This window comes from Homo sapiens, chromosome 5 (genome assembly GCF_000001405.40).
Source record: "Homo sapiens chromosome 5, GRCh38.p14 Primary Assembly".
NCBI classification, from domain to species: domain Eukaryota; kingdom Metazoa; phylum Chordata; class Mammalia; order Primates; family Hominidae; genus Homo; species Homo sapiens.
This window is the reverse complement of record NC_000005.10, coordinates 78,656,924-78,683,406: the sequence shown is the minus strand read 5'-3', so window position 1 is coordinate 78,683,406 and position 26,483 is coordinate 78,656,924. Positions and strand designations below refer to the sequence as shown.

The 26,483-nt window shown below is 41.4% G+C and overlaps 1 long non-coding RNA gene across 1 annotated transcript in view; it reads left to right on the top strand.

Annotated features, from left to right (window-relative positions):
• LOC124900191 (uncharacterized) overlaps positions 1-25,648 on the top strand; it is a 115,042-nt gene extending 89,394 nt beyond the window's left edge. Inside the window, exon 5 of the long non-coding RNA XR_007058832.1 lies at positions 22,662-25,648. This is a non-coding gene — a long non-coding RNA (uncharacterized LOC124900191). The remainder of the gene's footprint in view (positions 1-22,661) is intronic.
• The last annotated feature ends 835 nt before the right edge of the window (positions 25,649-26,483 follow it).

Genomic DNA, 26,483 nt, shown 5'->3' with positions numbered 1-26,483 from the left:
CTTTCTTTTTACTCTTTTTTCTCTAAACTTCTCTTCTCGCTTCATTTCATTCATTTGATCTTCAATCACTGATACCCTTTCTTCCAGTTGATCGAATCAGCTACTGAAGCTTGTGCATTTGTCACATAGTTCTCGTGCCATGGTTTTCAGCTCTCTCAGGTAATTTAAGGACTTCTCTACATTGGTTATTCTAGTTAGCCATTTTTCTAATCTTTTTTCAAGGTTTTTAGCTTCTTTGCGATGCGTTTGAACTTCCTCCTTTAGCTCAGAGAAGTTTGATCGTCTGAAGCCTTCTTCTCTCAAGTCGTCAAAGTCATTCTCCGTCCAGCTTTGTTCCATTGCTGGTGAGGAGCTGCGTTCCTTTGGAGGGGAGAGACACTCTGATTTTTAGAATTTTCAGCTTTTCTGCTCTGTTTTTTCCCCATCTTTTTTGGTTTTATCTACCTTTGGTCTTTGATGCTGGTGACGTACAGATGGGGTTTTGGTGTGGATGTCCTTTCTGTTTGTTAGTTTTCCTTCTAACAGTTAGGACCCTTAGTTGCAGGTCTGTTGGAGTTTGCTGGAGGTCCGCTCCAGACTCTGTTTGCCTGGGTATCAGCAGCGGAGGCTGCAGAACAGCGAATATTGCTGAACAGCAAACGTTGCTGCCTGATCGTTCCTCTGGAAGCTTCATCTCAGAGGGGTACCCGGCCGTGTGAGGTGTCAATCTGCCCCTACTGGGGGATGCCTCTCAGTTAGGCTACTCAGGGGTCAGGGACCCAGTTGAGGAGGCAGTCTGTCCGTTCTCAGATCTCAAACTCCATGCTGGGAGAACCACCACTCTCTTCAAAGCTGTCAGACAGGGACATTTAAGTCTGCAGTAGTTTCTGCTGCCTTTTGTTTGGCTATGCCCTGCCCCCAGAGGTAGAGTCTACAGAGGCAGGCAGGCCTCCTTGAGCTGCGGTGGGCTCCACCCAGTTCGAGCTACCCGGCTGCTTTGTTTACCTCCTCAAGCCTCAGCAATGGCGGGTGCCCCTCCCCCAGCCTCACTGCTGCCATGCAGTTCAATCCCAGAATGCTGTGCTAGCAATGAGTGAGGCTTCATGGGCATGGGACCCTCCGAGCCAGATACAGGATATAATGTCCTGGTTTGCCGTTTGCTAAGACCATTGGAAAAGTGCAGTGTTAGGGTGGGAGTGATCTGATTTTCCAGGTGCCGTCTGTCACAGCTTCCCTTGGCTAGGAAGGGAATTCCCTGACCCCTTGCGCTTCCCGGGTGAGGCGATGCCTTGCCCTGCTTTAGGTCACGCTTGGTGGTCTGCACCCACTGTCCTGCACCCACTGTCTGACAAGCCCCAATGAGATGAATCCGGTACCTCAGTTGGAAATGCAGAAATTAGCCATCTTCTGCGTCACTCACGCTGGGAGCTGTAGACTGGAGCTGTTCCTATTTGGCCATCTTGGAACTGCACTCCTAATTTCCTTTTTCTAGTGTTACACAGGAAAAAATAAGCTGATAGATAGGAAAAAATTGCAAAAAAAAAAAGATATTAAAATAAAGGATGTAAGAAATATTTTTAAAATGCGATTAAAATAAAAGATGTAAGAAATTGGTACCAAGAAGACCAAGGTATCACATAGATCCCAAACTAGCACTAATATACCTCCAGCATAAAAAAGAACATGCACGCATGGCACTTTTCACATACCACAGTAGGTCAGCAAGCCAAATTCAGCACAGTAATTTAGTAGCCACAAGAAAATGGTTAGTCTGTGTTTGCATCTAAACATCTGCTTTCTGTTGATTACTTAGATGACACATGAGTTCACACATGCCTCTTGTAATTCTTGTTGGGATTCTGTCAATTGCATTTAAAAAGCTGTTTACACAATGGAATTTTTGACAGCACCAGGAAAGTTGCAATAAAAATATAAATTATTTCATTCTCCATTAGAACCACGTGGGAGAACAGAATATAAAGTACAAAGTTGCATTTGAGAACAGATAAGTTATGTGTATTCAGAATGGAAAAGAATTAATTATGCCTTCCATAATTTATGAGGAATGCCAGACAGTCAGCCGAAGCTTCTAGGTCATGTTCTTTTTCTCAGAACCTGGAAATTCAGGTACTGGTCCTGTCTGTATTGTGGAGGAAGTCTAATTCTTCCTCAACTGTTGAGGAACACCTCCAACATAAGGAGGTGAGAGAAAGGGACCTCTGACACAGCTGCCCTTCATACTTATCTAGTTAATGTGGATTCTCAAGTGTAGACACTTAGCATTTTCTATTCAGTAAGTCACTTTTCTGCTAAACAAAGTCAGAGCATTTCTCATACATTGTTTTTAAAACTCAGAAATAAATGAATTAAGTTGTGTTTTTAATTTGCCAATTGATAAGTGTATTCATGTATAATTTTTTCTACATATTTTTAGTGTAGACATTTCGCTATTTACTGTATGGTCTAAAATTATGATGTGTGGCCAAATGTACAGAACATGTTTCCCCTAGAACTCAGCCTGAAATGTCATGATTCAGAAGCATTCACAGATTACCCACCCACCTCATGACAGTCACTTTCACAAACATGATCATATATTTCATTCTTATGATCATTCTATAAAAAGTATTTTATATATACATATATAATACATATATAAAAATGTGATTACAATAAAGATGTAAGAAATTGGTACCAAGAAGACCAAGCTACCACATTGATCCCACACCAGCACTAATCTACCTCTGATGTGAAACACGGTATATTTCACATGTTACAGTAGGTCAACAAGCTAAATTTACCACAGTAATTTAGTGGCTACAGGAGGATGGTTTGTCATTCTTCTTGTAATAGTATGTGTATATATATAGGTACATACCATTTAATTAAATGGTATATATATGTACCACATAATTTAAAATATATATAGTGTGTATATACATATATTTTAAATTATATATATATATGTGGAGAGAGAGAGAGAGACGGAGTCTTGCTCTGTCACCCATGCTGGAGTGCAGTGGCACAATCTCAGCTCACTGCAACATCCATCTCCTGGGCTCCAGTGATTCTTCTGCCTCAGCCTCCCAAGTAGCTGGGATTACAGTGCCCACCACCATGCCTGGTTAATTTTTGTATTTTTAGTAGAGACAGGGTTTCACCGTGTTGGCTAGGCTGGTCTTGAACTCCTGACCTTGAGTGATGTGCCTGCTTTGGCGTCCCGAAGTGCTGAGGATTACAGGCTCAAGCCACCACCCCGGCCTATATATTTAAATTATATATAATATAAATAAAGAAATAAATCATATATAATTTAAATATGTATTTATATAAATACATATTTAATAAGTAAATAAATACATAAATAATATTTACATATTTACCGTGTGTACACACTTTATTTCAAATTATATATATTTAAATTATATACATAATATACAAATTATATATATAATTTAAAATACATATATAGTGTGTATATATGGTAAATATATAATGGCAATACATACATATAGATATTTAATTTTACAAATGAGGAAACTGAGGCCCAAAAAGGTAAAGTAAGTTACCCAACATTTCACAGCTAGTAAGCAGGAAAAATAGAATTGAAATTCATGTCCTGTTATACGGCTGCTGCCATGCAACAGATGTATACCCCAAACAACTAAGGACATGAAAACCCTAGAAATACCGTATTTTGGTGTGACCCCAAGAAAAATTGCTGGTATATATCTATTATTCTCCAAGGAAATCAGCCTTAAAGTGAGGCATGCATCTCATCTATCACCAGTTACCTTAATAACCTGATAGAGATCTATAATCCCTAAATTTTAAAATATTTCTTGAATGTATTTGTAGTTCCAATCTGGAATATCTATTGAGATAATAATTACCTTAAGTTTATGACCAGTTGTGTTATTCAGTCATTGCATTTCTATACACCTAAAATGTCTTTCAAATTTCAATGGGCATTCCCCCATTTCTAGTATTCCAAATATGGGGGTGTACATTCTTTATCCATCTTCTCAGGATTTCATAAAATTTGCTCCTTCCTTCTTTCTTGAGAATATTTCTGAGCCTTTCTGAGTCTGTCCTTATTTGCAAGCCTCTTGATTGCAGAAGATGACTCTAAACATTTTGCAGATGAAAAAAAAGATAAAACTTGCCCTACCTGGCCTCTTGCACAAGACTCTGAGGTATCTCCTTTCCCCTCTGGCCTGCAAGTCTGCCTTAGGACACTTGCTGCTCTCTCTCTTCTACTCAAGAAACTGATGATCGGTTAGACTTCAGGTTCTTTCTTGCCCTTCAGGTTTTGTTTTGTTTTGTTTTGTTTTTAGACGGAGTCTCGCTCTGTCGCCCAGGCTGGAGTGCAGTGGCACAATCTTGGCTCACTGCAACCTCTTCTACCCGGGTTCAAGTGATTCTCCTGCCTCAGCCTCCCAAGTAGCTGGGGCTACAGGCACATGCCACCACGCCTAGCTAAATGTTTTTGTACTTTTTTAGTAGAGACGAAGTTTTACCATGTTGGCCAGGCTAGTCTCGAACTCTTGAGTTCAGGTTATCCGCCCGCCTCGGCCTCCCAGAGTGCTGGGATTACAGGCATGAGCCACCGTGCCCAGCCGCCCTTTAGTATTTCACACTGTTAATGGGCCTGAATTTGTTGTACCTTTCTGTTGAGTGGTAATATTTTGGACTTAGTTGTTATATTAAGAAAAAATTCTGAGCAGAATCAAGCAAAGGATGTGGCAGAATGAGAAAATGACCACTTTCTTTGGCATTGGTAGGGCTATGGATTGCAAGTGTGGTGGACATCAGAAACACCTGCAGATTCCTGGGCCCATGATCCCTCCCTGAGGCTCTCTGGAGTGGAGTCCAGATATGTGTGGTTTAACTGGTTTCCCTGGGGTGATTCTGATGTAAGTGGTCAGAAACACCACAAGGGTGTGATGTGTCAAACCAGTCTCTTCTGGAAAGAGGCACTACAGCTTCTCTAAAGCGAGTATTATTCATGACCTCCCACTTGCAGTAGAAAGTCCTAGTTAAAACTGTGAGTAATCTTAGAGGCTCTTATTCTTCTGAATTATCTAAAACAAGAAACTAAACAAAACCAACCAACCACTCATCTAGTCAAATAAATGCTGCCTGAAAGAAGAGCAACAGCTGTTCTTTCTTTTTATCCAGTGATTTGGAGAAAACATTGTAAGTTCTTCTCCATAAAGCAGTAGAAAAAGATGACATGATAAGAGATCCGTGGGCTTTTCCTCCAGAGAGCAAATAGAAAACCCTTGGTTTTTGTCCTGACTGAGAAACGCTTAAACGTCTACATGTACAATCAGATAATCCCTAAAATGCCTTTCCCCTGGTCTAACTCAATTCAGATAACTGTGTTTGTCTGTGAGAAACCCTCAGAGAATATATTCAAGCCAAATGATCTCATGCCTGGATTTTGCAAAACAATATGTGCACAAGACCAGAATTTATGTCATCATCGAATATGTGCCTTTCCCAAATCCAGCCCCGGGATGTTCTTCAACAACATGGCTTCTTTGCCACATCTGAGTCACTTCCTGGGCCTGGATCCAGGACAGCCTGCAGACCCCTGGCCACCAACAAGCCACATAAGGAAGCAGTTCTGTACTATTTCTAGGAATGGCATCTTTTAAAATTATTTTACACTTATCTCACCCATTTTGGTATCCCAGATGGCTTTAAAGGGGAGTTAGCATGGCTGAAGTGATATATTTTTTTCCTCAAAATAATTTTCTGTTGTGCTCAGTTGAGAGAAAAATCAAAAGCGTGCAGTGGTAAAAATGCCTGACAATCCCTGGAGATGCTGAACTAGTCTCTTTGCGGAAAATTCTGGAGATCTGTTTGCTGCCCTGGGGTATTAGCTGCCTTTGCACCTCTGCAGGGGAGATTCAGGTTCCATGTATTCTTTAGGGAGGTCAGAGAAACAGGAAAAGTTGTCCTGGATTGAACTCTCACCTCTGACCACAAACAATTGCTAGGTTGAATCTCCCCTATCCAAAAAGTTTGGAACCAGAGTGTTTTAGATTTTTTATTTTTTTCAGACTTCGGAATTTTTGCATATACATAATGAGATATCTTGGAGATGGGACCTAAGTCTAACCATGAAATTCACTTATGTTTCATATATGCCTTATACATACAACCTGAATGTAAGTTTATAGAATATTTTAAAAATTTTTTGGAAATGAAACGAAGTTTGTATACCCTGAACCATCAGAAAGCAAAGCATCATGTCAGCACTTTAAAAAGTTTAGATTTTGGAGCTTTCTAGATTTTGGATTTCTGGATTAGGGATGCTCAACCTGTAACACTTCTTGGTACTTGTGTGTATTAGACTACGCCTTTGCAGTTGAAGAGCTTTGACTCCGTTTCCCTGGTTGTCACTTCCAGAAGGGCTGCCCTCTATGTGGTGTAATGAGATCTCTCATTGAGGGGAGGAATGAGGAGTTACTGCATGCTCTGCCTCAGAAGAGGAGGCCACAGTTGTCAGGCCTACTCAGCAAAGTGTCCCAGAGGCTGGTCTGCAGTCCCTGCAAGGAGGCATAGCCAACCTGGGGACTGCAGGAGGACATGTCTGGGCCCACACTACCCCACACACTGCCTGCTCCAACGACCTCTTTTGGTTTTAAGATCCAATATGCCACCATTGGAAATTCATTTGAATTGGTAGATCTCCTTTTTGAGAGGTCAAATAAGAATGAACGGGATGGCCTAGAATGCTTTTCCTGTAGCTCTTGTTATCTTACTAACCATGGTCCTATAAAAAATCAGGCAATGACTCCTGCAGAAAGCTGTTCCATTCTGGGATCATTGGTCCTTCTACGAGGCATCCTAGCCTAGTGCTGTGCTGTCACTTCCTGCTTGAGATTAGTATTCTCTGCTGGCCTCCCTGAAGGGAGGACCTGGGTATTGTTCTTTCATCGTTGTGTTTCCACTGGGCCTGACACCTGGTTTACTCTATAAATATTTGTTGAATGAGCCCAGTATCTTTGATTATAAAATGATAAAGTAATTCAGCTATAAAATGATGATGGTAATGATACCTTCCTCAGGGTATTTGTGAGTAGGAGAGGAGATAATCTACGTCAAGTTATTGGCAAACTGTAAAGCTCTATACAAATGGAAGTCTTCAGGATAACTTGCCAGGAAGCGTGAGAGGGGTTCCAGAAGAAGACACAGAAACCTCACCCACTTTCAGGATTTTCCTGAGGCCCATTCTAAGCAACTATATTTAGACCTGCACACAGAACCACACCCAAAAGGACTTTGCTCTGTCTTTCTATCAAGATCTTTGCCCTGAAAGAACCTAACCCCAAAGGTACTCCCAGAGCTTGTCATTTTCTAGAGTGAATAACCAGAGGTTAGAATAATTAGACACTAATTCTCACAGAATCTGTTTGACAAGTAGTTTGGCAGATAATTGCGTTAATTATTAAGATTAAAAGTCTAAGATGATAAGGAGCAGAAATTTGCTCATTACCCAGATAGACCAGAACAGAGTGGGAGATTGTAGGGAATTGTAGCAGAGATACCAGTTACTCCCCACCCACATCCCCTCCTCAGAGAACCCGCCTATCCTCCCCGCCTTGGCCATCCACAGCTGTCTGGACCAGAATAGAAGGCTATGGTTCAGGCCTTCTCACCTCAAAGAAGAAAAGCCATGGGAGAGCCATGCTGTTTAGATTGTTAGAGTTTGGACAGAGACACTGAGAAAGTCTGCCTTCTAAACATGAACCAGGGGGACTACATTGAGCCAGGCCTGAAGAACCGGTGCACATCAAAGCAAAGAAAGCCAGGCCATCAAAAGACACCGTGGTGAGGCCCCTCGGTCCCCACCCACCATTTCACCAGGCCCTGTCTGTGTGCCAAGCTCAACCCTCAGAAAGGATATTTCATGTAGGCTGGGTACATGAAATGTAATCCTGTAATCCCAGCACTTTGGAAGGCCAAGGCAGGTGGATCGCTAGAGGTCAGGAATTTGAGACCAGCCTGGCCAACATGATGATACCCCATCTGTACTGAAAATACAAAAAATTAGCCGGGTGTGGTGGTGTGTGCCTGTAGTCCCAGCTACTCGGGAGGCTGAGGCAGCAGAATTGCTTGAACCCGGGAGGTGGAGGTTGCAGTGAGCCGAGATCATGCCACTGCACTCCAGCCTGGGCAACAGAGAGAGACTTCATCTCAAAAAAATAAAAAATAAAATAAAATAAGGCAGAAACAAACAGAAAAAATAACGGTGTTACTTATGGTGAATGCTAGAGTATACAGCAATGAACCAATACAGGGCTTCCAAATCAGTAAAGAGGAAGTCAAACTGTCACTGTTAGCTGACAATATGATCATTTACTTTGAAAACCCTAAAGACTCCTCCAGAAAGCTCCTAGAACTGATAAAAGAATTCATCAAAGTTTCCAGATACAAGATTAACGTACACGAATCAGTAGCTCTTCTATACATGAACAATGACTAAGCAGAGAATCAAATCAAGAGCTCAACCCCTTTTACAATAGCTGAAAAAAACAAACAAACAAAAAAAAAACTTAGGAATATACCTAACCAAGGAGTCAAAAACCTCCACAAGGAAAACTACAAAACACTGCTGAAAGAAATCATAGACGACATGAACAAATGGAAACACATCCCATGCTCATGATGGGTACAATCAATATTGTGAAAATGACCATACTGCCAAAAGCAATCTACAAATTCAATGCAATCCCCATCAAAATACCACTATCATTCTTCACAGAATTAGAAAAAACACTTCTAAAATTCATATGGAACCAAAAAAGAGCCCGCATAGCCTAAGCAAGACTAAGCAAAAAGAACAAATCTGGAGGCATCACACTACCTGATTTCAAACTATGCTATAAGGCCATAGTCACCAAAACAGCATGGTACTGGTGCAAATATAGGCACATAGACCAATGGAATAGAATAGAGAACCCAGAAATGAACCCAAATACAGCCAACTGATCTTCGACCAAGCAAACAAAAACAAAATGGGGAAAGGACACCCTTTTCAGCAAATAGTGCTGGGACAATTGGCAAGCCACATGTAGGAGAATAAGAATCTCTCACCTTATACAAAAATCAACTCAAGATGGATCAAAGACTTAAACCTAAGACCTGAAACTATAAAAATTCTAGAAGATAACATTGGAAAAACCCTTCTAGACTTTGGCTTTGGCAAGGATTTCATGACCAAGAACCCAAAAGCAAATGCAATAAAAACAAAGATAAATAGCTGGGACCTAATTAAACTGAAGAGCTTTTGCACAGCAAAAGGAACAGTCAGCAGAGTAAACAGACAACCCACAGAGTGGGAGAAAAGTCATCAAAATCTATACATCTGACAAAGGACTAATATCAAGAATCCACAGTGAACTCAACCAAATGAGTAAGAAAAAAACAAACAATACCATCAAAAAGTAGGTTAAGGACATGAATAGACAATTCTCAAAAGAAAATATACAAATGGCCAACAAACATGAAAAAATGCTCAATGTCATTAATGATGAGGGAAATGCAAATCAAAATCACAATGCAGTACCACCTCAGTCCTGCCAGAATGGCCATAATCAAAAAAGAGTAGATGTCGGCATGGATGCGGTAAACAGGGAACACTTTTACACTGCTGGTGGGAATGTAAACTAGTACAGCTGCTATGGAAAACAGTGTGGCGATTCCTTAAATAACTAAAAGTAGAACTACCATTTGATCCAGCAATCCTGCTTCCCAGAGGAAAACAAGTCATTATTCAAAAAAGACACTTGCACACACATGTTTATAGCAGCACAATTCAGCAAAAATCATGGAACCATGATTATATATATTATGTATATATATACCATGATTATATATATATTTTATATATATACCATGATTACATATTTTATATATATATATGAGATCAAGCTGCCCTTTCTATTTTTCTATGCGCCCACTTATGTCTTGAAGGTCTCATTCTTCAGGAGATCTTGCAGAGCCAGTAGACATTGCTGAGCATCTAACTTGTCCCAAGGGGCTTTCTTGATTCTAGAGAGAATAGAACACTATGATACGTTCTGAATAACAGTGGGAAGGGCTTGAAAAAGGGATTTTTAATTTTCAGGGAGGAAAGATTATGTTGTGTAAATATAATATGTATTTTCTTTTGGATAATGCATTTGCTCATACACACACACACACACACACACACACACACACACACACACACACCATGGAATACTATGCAGCCTTAAAAAGGAATGAATTAAACAGCATTTGCAGTGATCTGGATGAGATTAGAGACTAATATTCTAAGTAAAGTAACTCAGAAATGGAAAACCAAACATCATGTTTTCTCACTACTATGTAGGAGCTAAGCTATGAGGACGCAAAGGCGTAAGAATGATACAGTGGACTTTGGGGACTTAGGGGGAAGGCTGAAAGAGGAGCGAGGGATAAAAGACTACAAATATGGTGTAGTGTATACTGCTCGGGTGATGGGTGTACCAAAATCTCACAAATCGCCACTAAAGAACTTATGCATGTAACCAAATGCCACCTGTACCCCAATAACTTATGGAAAATAAAAAATAAAAATAAATTTAAAAAAACAAGCCAGAAACAAATAAACAGAAAAACTAACGGTGTTACTTATGGTGAATGCTGGAGTATACAGCAATGGACCAATAGATTTTTGTGGTATTTCTGGAGAGACTTTCTAGGCTGGCTCGAGTTCTTTGGAGACTGATAATGCTTGTGTCTTATTATGTTTGGTAAGTTCATGCAAAAAATAGTCAGAGGTAAAATTTAGTGTCTTGTGAATGGTGGGAAATGGAGATTAAAAAGGATTCATGTGCAGATGAAAGCTGAGAAGGTGATAGCCTGTTTGGCTGCTATCTGGAGTTGATGGAAGAAAGGCTTTTGGTGGGGCAGGGGTAACCGGGTTGACTATGACCAACAGTTCACCAATGCACAACTTTCTAAGTGATAATCATAATTGGGTTTTGCCTGTTTGTAGATAGTGTTTCTCCTCAAGATAAGGAAGAATTCATGGGAAAGCTATATCCCTGGCAAAATGTAAACACAAAACACCATGCTGCCCTCATAAGACTTAGATATATCTTTATGTTTCAAGACTCCCAAAGACCTCTGCTCTGTGGTTACATTTTTATTGTTTTTTTCAAATAGGGCTTCAAAGGCCCTCCTCTTAAGAAGCTCCTGGAACGCTTATTCTTATTTGTGCCTTCTTTTCCTTTGCTTTCCTTAATATACATATTTTTCCAAATATCCTGTTTCTTATTTTTGCTTAAAAAAATTTCCTTTTAGATTTTTTCCATTTTAAAAGACAGCCTGTCCTCATAAACTGGCAACCAGGGAGAAAGAAGGCGAACCCCTCCTTCCTCGTGCATCTGCCTCACTTGCTTTTTTGGCACAATCAGCAGGCCATTGTGGTATTTCAGGCCCACCACATCTTACAGCAATAATGTGAAAAGTTTAAGAGAACTGTAACCCCGAGGCTATTTGCAAAATGTTCATTCTGTAAGTACAAAGTTTAAGTGAGTTTGAATGTCAGCTTATCTCAGATTCTCATTTGTAGTTCATTTTAATGATGCATACACTCCATTTATTGCTCTAATCGTCTGCAGGCAGAACTCTGGAACTGCCCGGACTTTTCTGGCCCATTTCCAAGCCTCCACATTCCCAGTGATCACCTCCTCATATCTCTTCACTGGGATCCAAGGTTCTTCTCTATTTGCCAAACTGCATATTATGTGGGGAGATTGGTGGTGCTAGGGGTTTTCTTTTTGGCTACTTCCTTACTTTCATTAAAAAAAAAAAAAAAGCTGCCAAGATAGTGGCTCAAGCCTGTAATCCTAGCACTTTGGGAGGCTGGGGCGGGAGGATTGCCTGAGCTCAGGAGTTCAAGACCAGCCTGGGCAACACGGTGAAACCCCGTTTCTACTAAAATACAAAAAATTAGCTGGGCGTGGTGGCATGCGCCTGTAGTCCCAGCTACTCAGGCGGCTGAGGCAGGAGAATTGCTTGAACCCGGGAGATGGAGGTTGCAGTGAGCTGAGATTGCGCCACTGCACTCTAGCCCGGGCGAGAGAGTGAGACTCCAACTCAAAAAAAAAAAAAAAAGAAAGAAAAAGAAAGCTATGCAGTACTCTCAGGCAGTAGGTAATGAAATACATCCATTTTTAAAAAAATCAAATGCTCAGTGAGTGCCTACTGTGAACCAGGCACTATGCTTGATCCTGGGGATGCAGTGACAACACAGAAATGATGACAATAGCAGCTTGCTCTAGAGGTACTCACAGTCTAGCAAAGGTGTCATAAAGAGAGTGAATTATAGAGCTAAGGTGTAGCCTTTGGAGGTTCAGTTTAACACAATCTCGAGGAAGAGGTTTACATTATTTAGAGATTTACAAAGAACATTTTATTACATCCTTCTGAGGGTCATTTTAACCTCACTGTTAAACTTAAGGCTATTTCCTGTTGTTCTTAGCAATGATGAAGGCCGTTTGCTCAGTGTCCTCCTGATGAGAACTCTGCATATATTCCAGTAGACAGCCATCAAGCTGCCCTTTCTATTTTTTCTATGAGCCCACTTATGTCTTGAAGGTCTCATTCTTCAGGAGATCTTGCAGAGCCAGTAGACATTGCTGAGCATCTAACTTGTCCCAAGGGGCTTTCTTGATTCTAGAGAGAATAGAACACTATGATACATTCTGAATAACAGTGAGAAGGGCTTGAAAAAGGGATTTTTAATTTTCAGGGAGGAAAGATTATGTTGTGTAAATATAATATGTATTTTCTTTTGGATAATGCATTTGCTCATTTGGGTTACTAGGTTGAAGGAGGAAAGAGGGCCTAAGTAATACGTTTTTCACCAGTAACTTTTTTTTTTTTCAACTGAGACTGGGTTTTGCTCTGTTGCCAAGGGTGGAGTGCAGTGGTGTAATCATAGCTCACTATAACCTTGAACTCCAGGGTTCAAGCAATTCTCCTGCCTCAGCCTCCTAAGTACATAGGGCTACGGGTGGCATCACCATTCCCAGCTAATTTTTAAAATTTAGGCCGGGCGCGGTGGCTCACGCCTGTGATCCCAGCACTTTGGGAGGCCGAGGCGGGTGGATCACGAGGTCAGGAAATTGAGCCATCCTGGCTAACACAGTGAAACCCTGTCTCTACTAAAAATACAAAAAATTAGCCGGGCGAGGTGGCAGGCGCCTGTAGTCCCAGCTACTGGGGAGGCTGAGGCAGGAGAATGGCGTGAACCTCGGGAGGCGGAGCCTGCAGTGAGCCGAGAGCGAGCCACTGCACTCCAGCCTGGGCAACAGCAAGACTTCGTCTCAAAAAAAAAAAAAAAAATTTAGTAGAGACAGGGGTCTTGTTCCATTGCCCAGGCTTGTCTCAAACTCCTGGCCTCAAGCAATCCTGTAACCCTGCTTTGGCATTCCAAAGTTCTGGGACAGGTATGAGCCACCATTCCTGGTCCATCAGCAACTTCTAGAGCCCAGATTGTGCTGTTTTGTGCTGTGTCCAAAAAAGGTTAATATCTGACTTTATACAAATGAAAGATGCTGTTGCTACTAATGGCTGTTGCTTAGAGCGATGGCTGACTCTGCATGTTAAGCATCTGTTAGGACCTGGAATCCTACAACGTCCTATCTTATCTCCCATGATCTAGTTGAATTCTCTTATACGGTTACTACTTCTTTTTCTTTTCTTTTCTTTCCTTTCCTTTCCTATTCTTTTTCCTTCCTTCCTTCCTTCCTCCTTTCCCTTCCTTCCCCTTCCCCTTCTTTCCTTCCTTCCTTCCTCCTTTCCTCCTTTCCTCCTTCCTTTCTTCCTTCCTTCCTTTCTCTCTTTCCTTCCTCTCTCTTTCTTTCTTTCTCTCTCTCTCTCTCTCTCTCTCCCCCCCTTCCTTCCTTCCTTCCTTCCTTCCTTCCTTCCTTCCTTCCTTCCTTCCTTTCTGTCTGTCTCGCTCTGTTGCCCAGGCTGGGGTGTGGTGGCACCATCATGGCTCGCTACAGCCTTGGCCTCCTGGGCTCGGGCAATCCTCCCACTTCAGCATCCCAAGTGGCTGGGACTACAGGCATGTGCTAACATGCCCAGCTAATTTTTGTGTTTTTTGTAGAGAGGGGGTTTTACCATGTTGTCCAGGCTGGTCTTAAACTCCTAGGAGCTCAAGCAATCCACCCACCTTGGCCTCCCAAAATGCTGGGTTTACAGGCATGAGCCCCTGTGCCATTACTTCTTGAAGAAGCTTACTGATACATACAATAAGCCTAGTTCTTCTACCTTTTGACAACTTTCAAATCTTTGAAGGCAGCTGCTCTGCCATTAAAAATTCCCTATTTTCTCAAGAGTTACTTATATATGATCCTTGCTGCCTTCTTCCCAATCCAGTGAGACAATAAGTCCTACATTTCTTCCCTTGCTGTATCTCATACATTGGTCCCTTCTTTCTTGCTGTTCCAACAATTTTACCTGCAATTCTATGAAAATGAACTACTTCACCACAGACATGATAAAATGGTTGAAACCTTGGGAAATGTAACAACATCAGACTGATGTTTGTGATTGTCTTTCAGAGGACATGGGAAAAAAACAGTGAATATAATCATTGCCACTCATTCTGGGGCAGGGTTCAATGGGGACATCTAGTTTTAATTTTAGCTACAATTTACAAAACAGACTGGAACTTTTGGACAAGGGAAAGCAGTGTACCTCCTCCAAGTGTAAGGAGAGAGGTAATTCTAGGTGGAGCAAGTGCCTGTTATAGAAACACTTTGTATTCCTTAGATCTTCACCCCTCCTCAAAAACCATCAATGAGGCCAGGCGCGGTGGCACACACATGTAATCCCAGCACTTTGGGAAGCCAAGGCAGGTGAATAGCTTGAGCTCAGGAGTTCGAGACCAGCCTGGGAAACATGATGAAACCCTGTCTTTATAAAAATACAAAAAAATTTAGCCAGTCATGGTGATGCACATCTGTAGTCCCAGGTACTCTGGAGGCTGAGGTAGGAGGAGCACCTGAGCATGGAGAAATTGAGGCTGCAGTAAGCTGAGATCACACCACTGCACTCCAGCCTGAGCGATGGAGTGAGACCCTGTCTCAAAAAGGAAACAAAACAAAACAAAACAAAAAAACCATTAATGGCTCAACTTTGCATAAAGTATAGAATCCAAACTTCTGAGCTGCCTTTCAAGCACTAATATACCAGCCAAGCTAGTTTTTTTCTTGTCCACCCTCCCCCAGATAAATAAGCTTTGTACTTTCCTGCCTGTCTTCATTGGATAAACCTGTTTCCAACATCAAAACCATCTTCCTTATCTCTGCCTGGCCAAAACCAATAGTTCTCAATATTGATTACCTAACTCAGTTATCTGTTAAACTTAAAAATGAAGGAGAAGAAGAAAGGGGAAGAAAAAGGAGGAGGGGGAGAATGAGGAGGATACAGATGAGGAGGAGGAGGAGGAGGATACAGATGAGGAAGGGGGGAGGGGGAGAGGGAGGAGCTGCTAGGTATCATATTTCTAGGGTTATGACCCCAGCACATATATTTCTTTAAAATGGGTTGAGAACCTAAAATAAAATGAAATATAATAAAATAGGTTGAGAACCACTGTCCTGCCTTAAATTCAAACCCCCGCCTCGTATGGGAAGCCTTCTCTGAGCATGCCAGTGAAGAACAGTCCTTCCTGGTTGCCATTATGAATGCACTCAGTGGCACCTAACTTACAGCCTAGAAGGCCGTGAGTCAGCTCAGAAGCTGTTTGATGATAAAGCCAAGTGATTTTTTTTTTTTTGAGGCAGACTCTCACTCTGTCACCCAGGCTGGAGTGCAGTGGTGCCATCTCAGCTCACTGTATCCTCCGCCTCCCAGGTTCAAGCAATTCTCCTGCCTCAGGCTCCCGAGTAACTAGGACTACAGGCATGTGCCACCATGCCTGGCTAATTTTTTTATTTTTAGCAGAGTTGGGGTTTCTCCATGTTGGCCAGGCTGGCCTCGAACTCCTGACCTCAGGTGATCCTTCCCCCTCAGCCTCCCAAAGTGCTGGAATTACAGGTGTGAGCCACTGTGCCCAGCCGAAGCCAAGTCTTATAACCTGCCATTCTTGGGCCACTAGTACAGCATCTTGTCCATAGAAATCTTCACAAATATTGGCCAGATGCAGTGGCTCATGCCTGTAATCCCAGCACTTTGGGAGCCTGAGGAAGGAGGATTGCTTGAGTCCAGGAGTTTGAGACCAGCCTGGGCAACACAGCAAGACCCCATCTCTACAGAAAAGTTTAAAATTACCCAGGCATTGTTATTTATGTCTATAGTCCCAGCTCCTTGGGAGGCTGAGGCTAGAGAATTACTTGAGCCTGGGAGGTCAAGGCTGCAGTGAGCCTTGATTGTACCACTGCACTCTAGCCTGGGCAATGACGCGAGTCCTCATCTCAAAAAAAAAAAAAAAAAAAAAAGAAGAAGCAAAATAAAAAGAAATCTTCATAATGATTTACCAGTTATTGGCTCAAGGCGGCAGGGGCACATGTAACCAAAAATGGATGTGGAGTATGTGATGGAGAAAAACCAATGCTAGGGTTTGCAAGGCAGGACGCAAGGGCAGCAGCGAATTCTCTAACACCTTAGCATCCACAAGCAAAGGCAAGCAGCATGAGAGCGAGAGAGAACTGCAAAGGAGCCCACTGAGTCCAGGTGAGCTGAGAGCCGAGTCCTTAGAAGTGGGGAGAGGTGGAGTCATAGTCTGTGACAATGCAGAGGGGCCATGATTTGCATTTTCAGGGAGTTGAGGACATAGCTTTTGTCTGAGAGAGGCTGCCTTCCAGCCTAGGCAGATAACTTGGGTCCAAGAGTATTAAAGGAGAGCTCCCAGACTTGGACAGAGTGCCAGAAGTGAGGTGAAATACAGGAAAGAAGCTGCCCCAAGATGGAGATGAGTGAGGCATGAAGAGATTGGAGGAGAAGGAGGCAGGCCTGCCTCACAGAGACAGATGTGTTTCTTGAGTCATGTTTTAATGGTTCCTGAGTTATTTGAGTACCAGACTTACACATCAACTCACTCTCTTCATTCCGTCTCCTAATTCCCAAGGCACTCAGGCACTTTACAACAGCTGAGCTTGCTGAACAACTTACCATGCTGCAGGGAAAGGGCAGGAGTGGGGCCGACTGCCAGGGACCCCGGGCCAGCCAGGCAGGAGTCTCCCAGGAAGACTCTGCAAAGGAGCCTCCTGTTGGGAACTGCCTGGGGTGCCTGTTTCATACAAAGCCTTCCATTTCTGTGATTTCACAAGTGATAAATATTTGTTTAAACAGAGGAACCAGATCTTTCTGGTAAAACATTCATGGAAACATTCCCACCCTACCACAGCAGGAAAAGTCCTCCAGCCAGAACATGTGATTAGAAACAAATTAAGAAAACTCAATCTGCTGGCTCAGGTGGTCCCTCTCGCCTTGATGGGCCTTGGGGTAGTGGGGATCCCTGGGGCTTCTCCACTCAGCAGAACCTGGACCCTAGCAGGGAAACATCCAAATGCCAGCACCTGTGCCTCCCTTCCTGCCCGGAAAATCCTCCATCCCCAAACCTCTCTCTTTAATTCGCCAAACACCTGCTCTGTGATGTTGAGTGTGGTGGGCTTGTTAAGAAGCCTAAGACATAACTATTTCCTGTGTGCCCACTGTGAGCATGCTTTGTAGCTGCTTTGCACAGAGCTCATTCAAATGCCAATCCTTACAGTAACCCTGTGAGACAGGTCTTACAATACGAATTTGGGGAGAAAATGGAAGTACTGAGAATTGTTAAACAAGGTACCCAGTGACATTCAGGGGCAAGTGGAAAGAGGAGCTTCCAACCCAGGGCTGTCTGATTCTCATTAATAATAACAGCCAGCATTTGTTACATGCCAAGCACTATTAATAAGCACTCTACATGCATCTATTCAGCCCAACAAGGTAGGAACAATCATCACTTTCCTCCTTTCACTGATGAGGAAACTGAGGCACAAAGAGATTAGGTGCCTTGTCTGCGGTCCAAGTAGTCCATAGTATGGATGGATTTGAACCCATAGAAGTGGTCTAGATGTTTCTCCACAGTGAGTCCGGTTCATCCCTACTCTACTTGGCCAGCCTGGCCTTCCTTCCCAGGCTGGCCACCAAAGACACCATTAAACAACAATGCAGGACACATGGTGTGATAGAAGATTGAGGTTTTAAAATTTTATTATTTTTTTGAGACAGAGTCTCGCTCTGTCACCCAGGCTGGAGTGCAGTGGTACGATCTCAGCTCACTGCAACTTCTGCCACCCAGGGTCAAGCGATTCTCCTGCCTCAGCCTCACAAGTAGCTGCGATTACAGGTGTGCACCACCATGCCCAGCTAATTTTTGTATTTTTAGTAGAGACAGGGTTTTACCATGTTGACCAGTCTGGTCTCAAACTCCTGACCTCAAGTGATCCACCCATCTCGGCCTCCCAAAGTGCTGGGATTACGGGCATGAGCCACTGTGCCTGGCCCCATTGTGGTGTTTTTTAAGTGATTTTTGAAATCTGGGGGTCCTAACAGACATGTATGAGAACTGTGGGGATTTTCTAGTGGAATCTGCACTCTGGGTTGTACTAGCAGGTACAGAAACGGGCCTTGATGGGGGCGGGGGAGGGATTTAAAATTCAAGCAGACAGAATTTTTATTAACATGAGGAAATTCTTAGATTATGGGATTACATGACAAAAGAAAGCTACAAGGCTATAGTATAATCGCAATGATATAAAAAGACTCATTAAAATTATGGAATAAGCTAAATTACAGGTTTTTTAAAGGACCTTTCAATGTTTTGAGTCAAGCAACAATAAAGAAAAATATTTCTACTGGTGTATGCTTTTCCTAATTTAGTAAAGTTCAAATATTTTTTGAGCACATCTTGTGTTGGTAAGTCAGTGTGACACAGGCACCCCAGCATTACCCTGGCGAAGTCTGCATTCTGGTAGTGTAGGCCAGCTGGGCTATAAAGTCTTCTATCACGAGTCCAGTCCTAGAAAAGCAGCCTTTACCCAGCCTGGCTTGGCAAACTTTTGTAGCAGGCAAAGGTTTATGTCGTGCACTCTCCTACCATTTTCCTTTCACACCCTATCCTATCATCTAGTCAAATTCCTGGCATATAGAAGAGAGCTTAATATAATTGTCCATCAGCATCCATGGGGGATTGGTTCTAGGATTCCCATAATTCCATAAAATTTATGGGTGCTCAAGTCCTTTATATAAAATGGTGTGGTATTTTCATATAACCTGCACACATCCTCCCGTAGACTTTATTTATTTATAAATAAATAATCTCACTCTGCTGCCCAGGCTGGGGTGTAGTCACATGATCATGGTTCATGGCAGCCTTGACCTCCTGGGCTCAAGCGATGCTATTGCCTCAGCCTTCTGGATAGCTAGGACTACAGGTGTATGCCACTACACCTGGCTAATTTTTCAATTTTTTTGTAGAGACAGGGTCTTAGTATGTTAACCAGGCTGGTCTTGAACTCCTGGCCTCAAGTGATCCTCCTGCCTCAGCCTCCCAAAGTGCTAAGATTACAGGTATGAGCCACCGCACCCAGCATCCTTCTGTATACTTTACATTGTCTCTAGATTACTCATATACCTCATACAATGTAACTGCTATATAAATAGTTGTATTGTGTAGAGAATAATGATAAGGAAAAAAGTCTGTACGTGTTCAGTACAGATGCAACCATCGATTTTGCGGGGTTGGGGGGAATATTTTGATCCACAGTTGATTGGATACATGAATGCCAAACCCATGGATATATAAAGGGTCAGCTGTATTTATGGCATTCAACCTAAATGATTCCTCAAAGCTGAATAACCCCATTGCTAATCATTAAATAATACCTTAGACATAATATTTGTCCTTTTCCATTTTTTTCTTTAGAGCAATTCAGTGTTCTGTATCTACAAAGAAAAATGTTTCACCACCTCTCAGTCGCACCCTTCCACTTTTGTAGTTTTGCAAGATGAACCAATGGATTTTAATATCATAGAATATGAAAAGTTAATTGATTTGGTTTCAGACTCCACATTATAACTAACCTCTAAAAAACTATCACTTGTTGAATTTTGGTGTATCAAAGATGAACATCCACAATGATCTGGAAAGCCTATTAAAATCTCCTTTTTTTCCAACTACACATCTGTGGGAAGCTGGATTTTCTTCATATACTTCAACCAAAATACATTGCCACAGCTTCAATGCAGAAGCTAATATGAACATCCAACTTTCTCCCAGTAAGTCATATGTAAAAGGGATTTTTCAAAAATATAAAACCATGCCACTTTTCTCACTAATTATTTTTGGTTTTGGAAAATACAGCTTTTAAATTGAGAGAAAAAAATCACATATCATGAAACATAAATAAATCATAATTTATTATTATTAAAAAATGTTTCCAACTTTAATTTTTGATTCGGGGTACATGTGCAGGTTTGTTACCTGAGTATATTGTGCAATGCTGAGGTTTGGAGTATATAGGATCCTGTCACACAGGTGCGGAACATAGTACTCAACAGTTAGTTTTTCAACCCTTGCCCTCTGCCTTTCTCCCCATCTAGTAGTCCCCAGTATCTATCATTGCCAACTTTATGTCCATAAGTACTTGATGTTTAGCTCCCACTTATAAATGAGAACTAACCATATTTTAAAGTTTACAATCCACAGCTTCCAGTACAGTCACAAGGTTATACAACCATCACCGTTACCTAATTTCAGAATGTTTTCATCACCCCAAAAAGAAAGCCTGTAATCACTAAACAGTTATTCCTCATTTCCCCATCCCCCCAACCCCTAGTAACCACTAATCTGCTTTCTGTCTCTACAAATTTGCCTATTCTGGACAACTCATATAAATGGACTCATATACTCTGTGGCCTTTTTGTCTCTGGCTTCTTTTCATCTAACATGATATTTTCAGCATCCATTTGTATCTATGCATGTATCTGCACTTCATCCCCACCCCCCAACTTTTTTTTTTGAGATGGAGTCTCACTCTCTCACCCAGGCTGGAATGCAGTGGTGCCATCTCGGCTCACAGCAACCTCTGCCTCCTGGGTTCCAGTGATTTTCCTGCCTCAGCCTCCCAAGTAGCTGGGATTACAGGCATTCACCACCATGCCCAGCTAATTTTTTTTTTTTTTTTTTTAGTAAAGATGGGGTTTCACCATGTTGGTCAGGCTGGTCTTGAACTCCTGACCACTCACTTCAGTGATCTGCCTGCCTGCCTCAGCCTCCCAAAGTGCTGGGATTACAGGCATGAGCCACTGTGCCCGCCTTCATCCCTTTTTATGGCTTAAGAATACTCCATTGTATGGATATACTACATTTAGCTTAGACTTGGTTTGTTTCCACTTTTTGACCACTGAATAAAGCTGCTATGAACATTTTTGTTAAAGTTTTCATTTGAACACCTGCTTTCAGTTCTCTTGGATATATGCCTATAAGTAGAATTGTTGGGTCATGTTTTAACTCTGTGTTTCACTTTTGATAAACTGCCAAACTGTTTCCCCAGCAACTGCATCATTTTACATCCCCACCAACCAAGTATGAGGGTTCCAATTCCTCATATCCTCATCAAAACTTGTTATTTTCAACTTATTTATTTTTTATTATAGCCATTCTAGTGGTATGAAGTAGTATCTCATTGTGGTTTTGATTTGCATTTTCCTAATGACCAATGATGGTGAGCATCTTTTCATGTGCTTATTTTCATTTGCACATCTTCTTTAAAGAAATGTCTACTCAGGTGCTTTGCCTGTTTTTAAAAATTGTCTTTTTGAAGTATAAAAACTATTTTTATATTCTAGATACCAGACAGGTGATTTGTAATTATTCTCTCCCCTTCAGGGTCTCCCTCCCTTCCTTCCTTCTTCTTTCTTTCTCTCTTTCTTAAGACAGGGTGTCACTCTGTCACCCAGGCTGGAGTGTGGTGGTGTGATCATTGCTCACTGTAGCCTCAAATTCTTGGGCTCTAGCCATCCTCCCTCCTCAGGGCACTGGGACTACAGGTGAGCACCACCACATCTGGCTAATTAAAAAAAAAATTTTTTTTTTGTAAAGATTGGGGTCTCACTACATTGCCCAGGCTGATCTCCAACTCCTGGCTTCAAGCAATCCTCCCACCTTGGCCTCCTAAAGTGCTGCAATTACAGGTGTAAGCCACTGTGCCTGCCTTCTTTTTACTTTCTTTTCTTTTTTAAACATTTTATTTTATTTTAAGTTCTGGGGTACATGTGCAGGTTGCACAGATTTGTCACATAGGTAAACGTGTGCCATGGTGGTTTGCTGCACCTATTAACCTATCACCTAAGTATTAAGCCCAGCATTCATTAGCTATTTATTCTGATGCTTTTCCCCTGCACCCCCTCTTTTTACTTTCTTAATAACATTGTTGATGCACAAAAATTTTTAATTTTGATGAAGTCCAATTTATCTATCTGTATTACTTCTTGTGGTTTTGATGGCATCTCTAAGAGTCCACGGCCAAATCCAAGGTACAGAAGATTTACTCTCATGTTTTATTCTAAGAGTGCTATAGCTTCTACCTTGAGGTCTGTGTTCCATTGTGAGTTCCTTGTTTTATCTGGTAAAGGTCCAACTTACCCTTCCACTTGAGAGGTTTCTATAAGTTGATTATGAGATGTTGGCTGAAGAGCAACACTTGGGTAAGTAGACATTTGTTCTCTGCTGGAACTTCCCACTCAGCAAATGTATTTCACCATAAAGTTATCTCAAGATACAAATAAAATTAAACCTGGAAATGAGGCTTTTAAAAGCATTTCCTTGCCATGCAATTGCCATAACAAATGTTTGGTTAGGTTTCATTATTTAAAAAACAGTCTGTAATTAAAACACGGTCCTGCCTAGTGCTTGGACAACAAACTGTAAGAAAAGAAACTGCTTGGTCTTCCCACTCCATCACTACCTGAGACAGCCCGAGATAACAATTAAACCACCATGGTTGCAGTCTGTACTTTGTTAAATGCTGTAAACTATTGCCATTAATTTCCATAAAGATGTGAAGATGTGAGATTTGAGTTTTAAACAATATAATAAAACTGAATTTGTTAAAGTTCTACTTAGGCATATAAACAAGCATTATTAAATGACATTATTTTACACTATTGAAAATGAGGGAAATGCATACATTTTCTCAAAGTCATTTCATGAGCCTGTGTTTTGAGGAATACAGTAAACGTACAGCCTCTCACATTGAAGTGTTAGCAGGTTGCACTGACATTGCTGTCTTTAGGTGCTGACACATTTCATCTATTTACAATATAGTTATGAACTTGGAGCTTTGGGGAAGGGTTCTGGGCTGAGAGAAAGAGAAGCTGGGCTTCTGGGCCACAGCCAGTTTCAGACAAAGATAAGAATGACTTAACAATTTGTTTTCTACGTTTGCAATGTTTCTCCTAAATTCCTTTTGTGTTATCAGTAGACATGGTAGTTGCTTTTTCTTTTGAGGCCTTTGAGGTTAAAATGCACTTAACAGCAATTGTTTATTTTTGGACATGCATATCATACTGTCTTTCATCCGATGCTGACGTGGCTACTTTCCATCAGGTCAAAGAAAGTTCAGGTTTCTAAGGGAATTTTGCACTGACAGAATCCCACATTAGGAAACAGATGGTTTCAGATGTAACTTTATTTTTAGGATGTGTTTATCAATTATTTTTTCATGTTAATTTGATCCCATTAGCAATCAATAAATGCATTAAGAGTTGTCCTGAAACTCTATTTGACTTGAGAATCAATAATTCCATTAGGATTGGAGGGCCTGTTCTGGTTTACAAACCTATGATGGTTTCTAAAGTAGTAGTCTGTGTAACTCCAAAAGATTAACTCAAAAGAAGTGAATTTCTTTTTCTGTAGTTATTTTAGTTGTTGAACTAACCAATGTAGCGGTGTCCATGAGGAATACTGATTTAGACCACTGGTGCACTTCATGTGCCTTTGAAATAAACAACAATGATATCTCATTCACTCCAGCCTGGAGAAACTTATAAAGAGCTAGTGTCCCGGGCTCTACCAGAATCTGGATCATGAAGTCCCCTGGGGAGAGTGTTTCCCCTAGTCTGTTAGCTGATATTTTTCATTAAGCTAAGCTGAAAAGCATTCAGTAAGATTTATCGGCACAATTTAATGTTGGTGTAGTCTGAGTTTTTGAGACAGAAGTTGGCCAAGGAAAGTATAGCTGAACCCAATTACACAATCTGGTGGCAAAGGAAAGGATTTGACACTGGCGTTTAAAGTTCCAGGAGGGAAGCTCCAATTTTGCCTATCCCATTGCCTGTGGTCTTTTCCACTCATATGAAGAATATGTCCCATTTACCATGGCCCCCACCAGAATCCAGCCCCTTATCCATGTTTGCTGCTTCCATGGCCTGGACAACCTGCCATGCATCACTCAGCCTCAAAACCTGGACATCATCCTTGACGTCTTTTCCTCTCAATGACTGCCCAATCAGTATTGCAAGCTCACTGCCACCACTGATCCTAATCCTATCCCCACTCTCCTGGAAGACCAGTCTTTCCATTCTTGGTCTTGCTCCCATTTAATGCATCTCTTCACAGAGCAGCCAGAGAGATCTTTCTAAAACAAGATCAGATCATTCCTGGGATTTAAAACCCTCAATGGCTCCTCAGGGCCCTCAGTTTAAACTTTGTAATGTGACTTCTAGGACCCTTGGTGTCCCCACTAACATCAACCTTACCCCTGAGTTAATATCTTCTCATTTTCCCTCCATTTGTGTCTTCTGCCATTCTCTCTGATGCTTCAGGGCTTTTGTGTACTGCCTTCTACCTCTCACCTTGTTAACTCTCAGTCCCTAGAGAACCTTCTCTAATTCCATTCCCCACCCAGCATCTGTTTCTAGTGTGGATGGACCCCCCTGGCACCTGCTCTTATCTTTAGTGTAGAGCTTTTGCCTAGTTCCTTCTCTCTCACCCAAAAGCCTGGGTGACTCTAGTGGACCAGGACATGCAAACTCTACCCCTAGATGTAGCACAGTCCTTAAAGGCATTGAGTGTTAAGCAAATACTATGTATTACAGCTCTTTATTTAATTCTGGTCACACTGGCAATTAAAATATTCATTGACCTTCACTGAACCACATAAATACACTGGATTTTAAACTCCTTGAGGATGGAGGCCTTGCTTAGTTGCCTTTGTATCCCTCTCACACACATAGTAAGTGTTCAGCAAATGTTCACTGAAGTTGCTCCTGGTTGTTGAGAACACAACTGTTTCTATCATTTTTACCTTGATTTCATTTTTTTAAATTGAGATATATTTTACATATCATAAAATTCACCCACTTGAAGTCTACAGTTCAGTGGATTTTAGTATACTCACAGAGTTCCGCAACCATCACCACAATCTGATTTCAGAACATTTTTATCACCCTAGAAAGAACTGGGTACCCATTAGCAATCACTCCACACTGCCCTCTACCTCCCACCCCCACCCTAGCCCTAGGCAAACACTAATCTGTTTTTTGTCTCTTTAGATTTGCTTTTTCGGGACATTTCATATAAACAAAATTGTACCATAGGTAGACTTTTGTGACTGGCTTCTTTCACTTGGCATAATGTTTTCAAAGTCCATCCATGTTGTAACATGTTTCAATACTTCGTGTTTTTTTATGGCTGAATAATATTCCATTGTATGTATTTACCACATTTTGTTTGTCCACTCATCAGCTGATGAACATTTGGGTTGTTTCTACTTTTTGGCTATTATGAATAATGCTGCTGTGAATATCTGTGTTTAAGTTTTTGTATGGACATATTTTTCTTTCTCTTGGATATTTACCTAGGAGAGGAATTTCTGAGTCATATAGTACAATAATCCTAAGTTTCATCTTTTGAGACATTATCGAAATGTTTCTCAGACTGGTTGCACCATTCACAGTCCCACCAGCAAACAAAGTTTGACAATTTCAATTTCTCTACATCCTCACCAACACTTGTTATCATATGTCTTTTCTGTTTTAGCCATCCTAGTGTGTATCACGTGGTACCTCATTGTGGTTTTGGTTTGCATTTCACTGATGATGAATGATGCTGAGTATCTTTTCATGTGCATATTGGCCATTTGAATATCTTTTTGGAGAAATATTTATGTGCTTTGCCATTTTAAAAATTGGTTTGTCTTTTTATTGTTGCTTTGTAAGAGTTCTTTATATATTGTAGAAACAAGTCCCTCATGAGATACAGATACACATTTTGCAAATATTTTCACCCATTCTGTGGGTTGCCTTTTCACTTTCTTGATGATGTCCCCTTGTCACACACAAGTTTTTAGTTTTAATGAAGTCCAGTTTATATATATTTTTTCTTTTGGCATTTATTCTTCTGGTGTCATAGCCAAGAAATTATTGCCTAACCCAACATCATGAAGATTTACTCC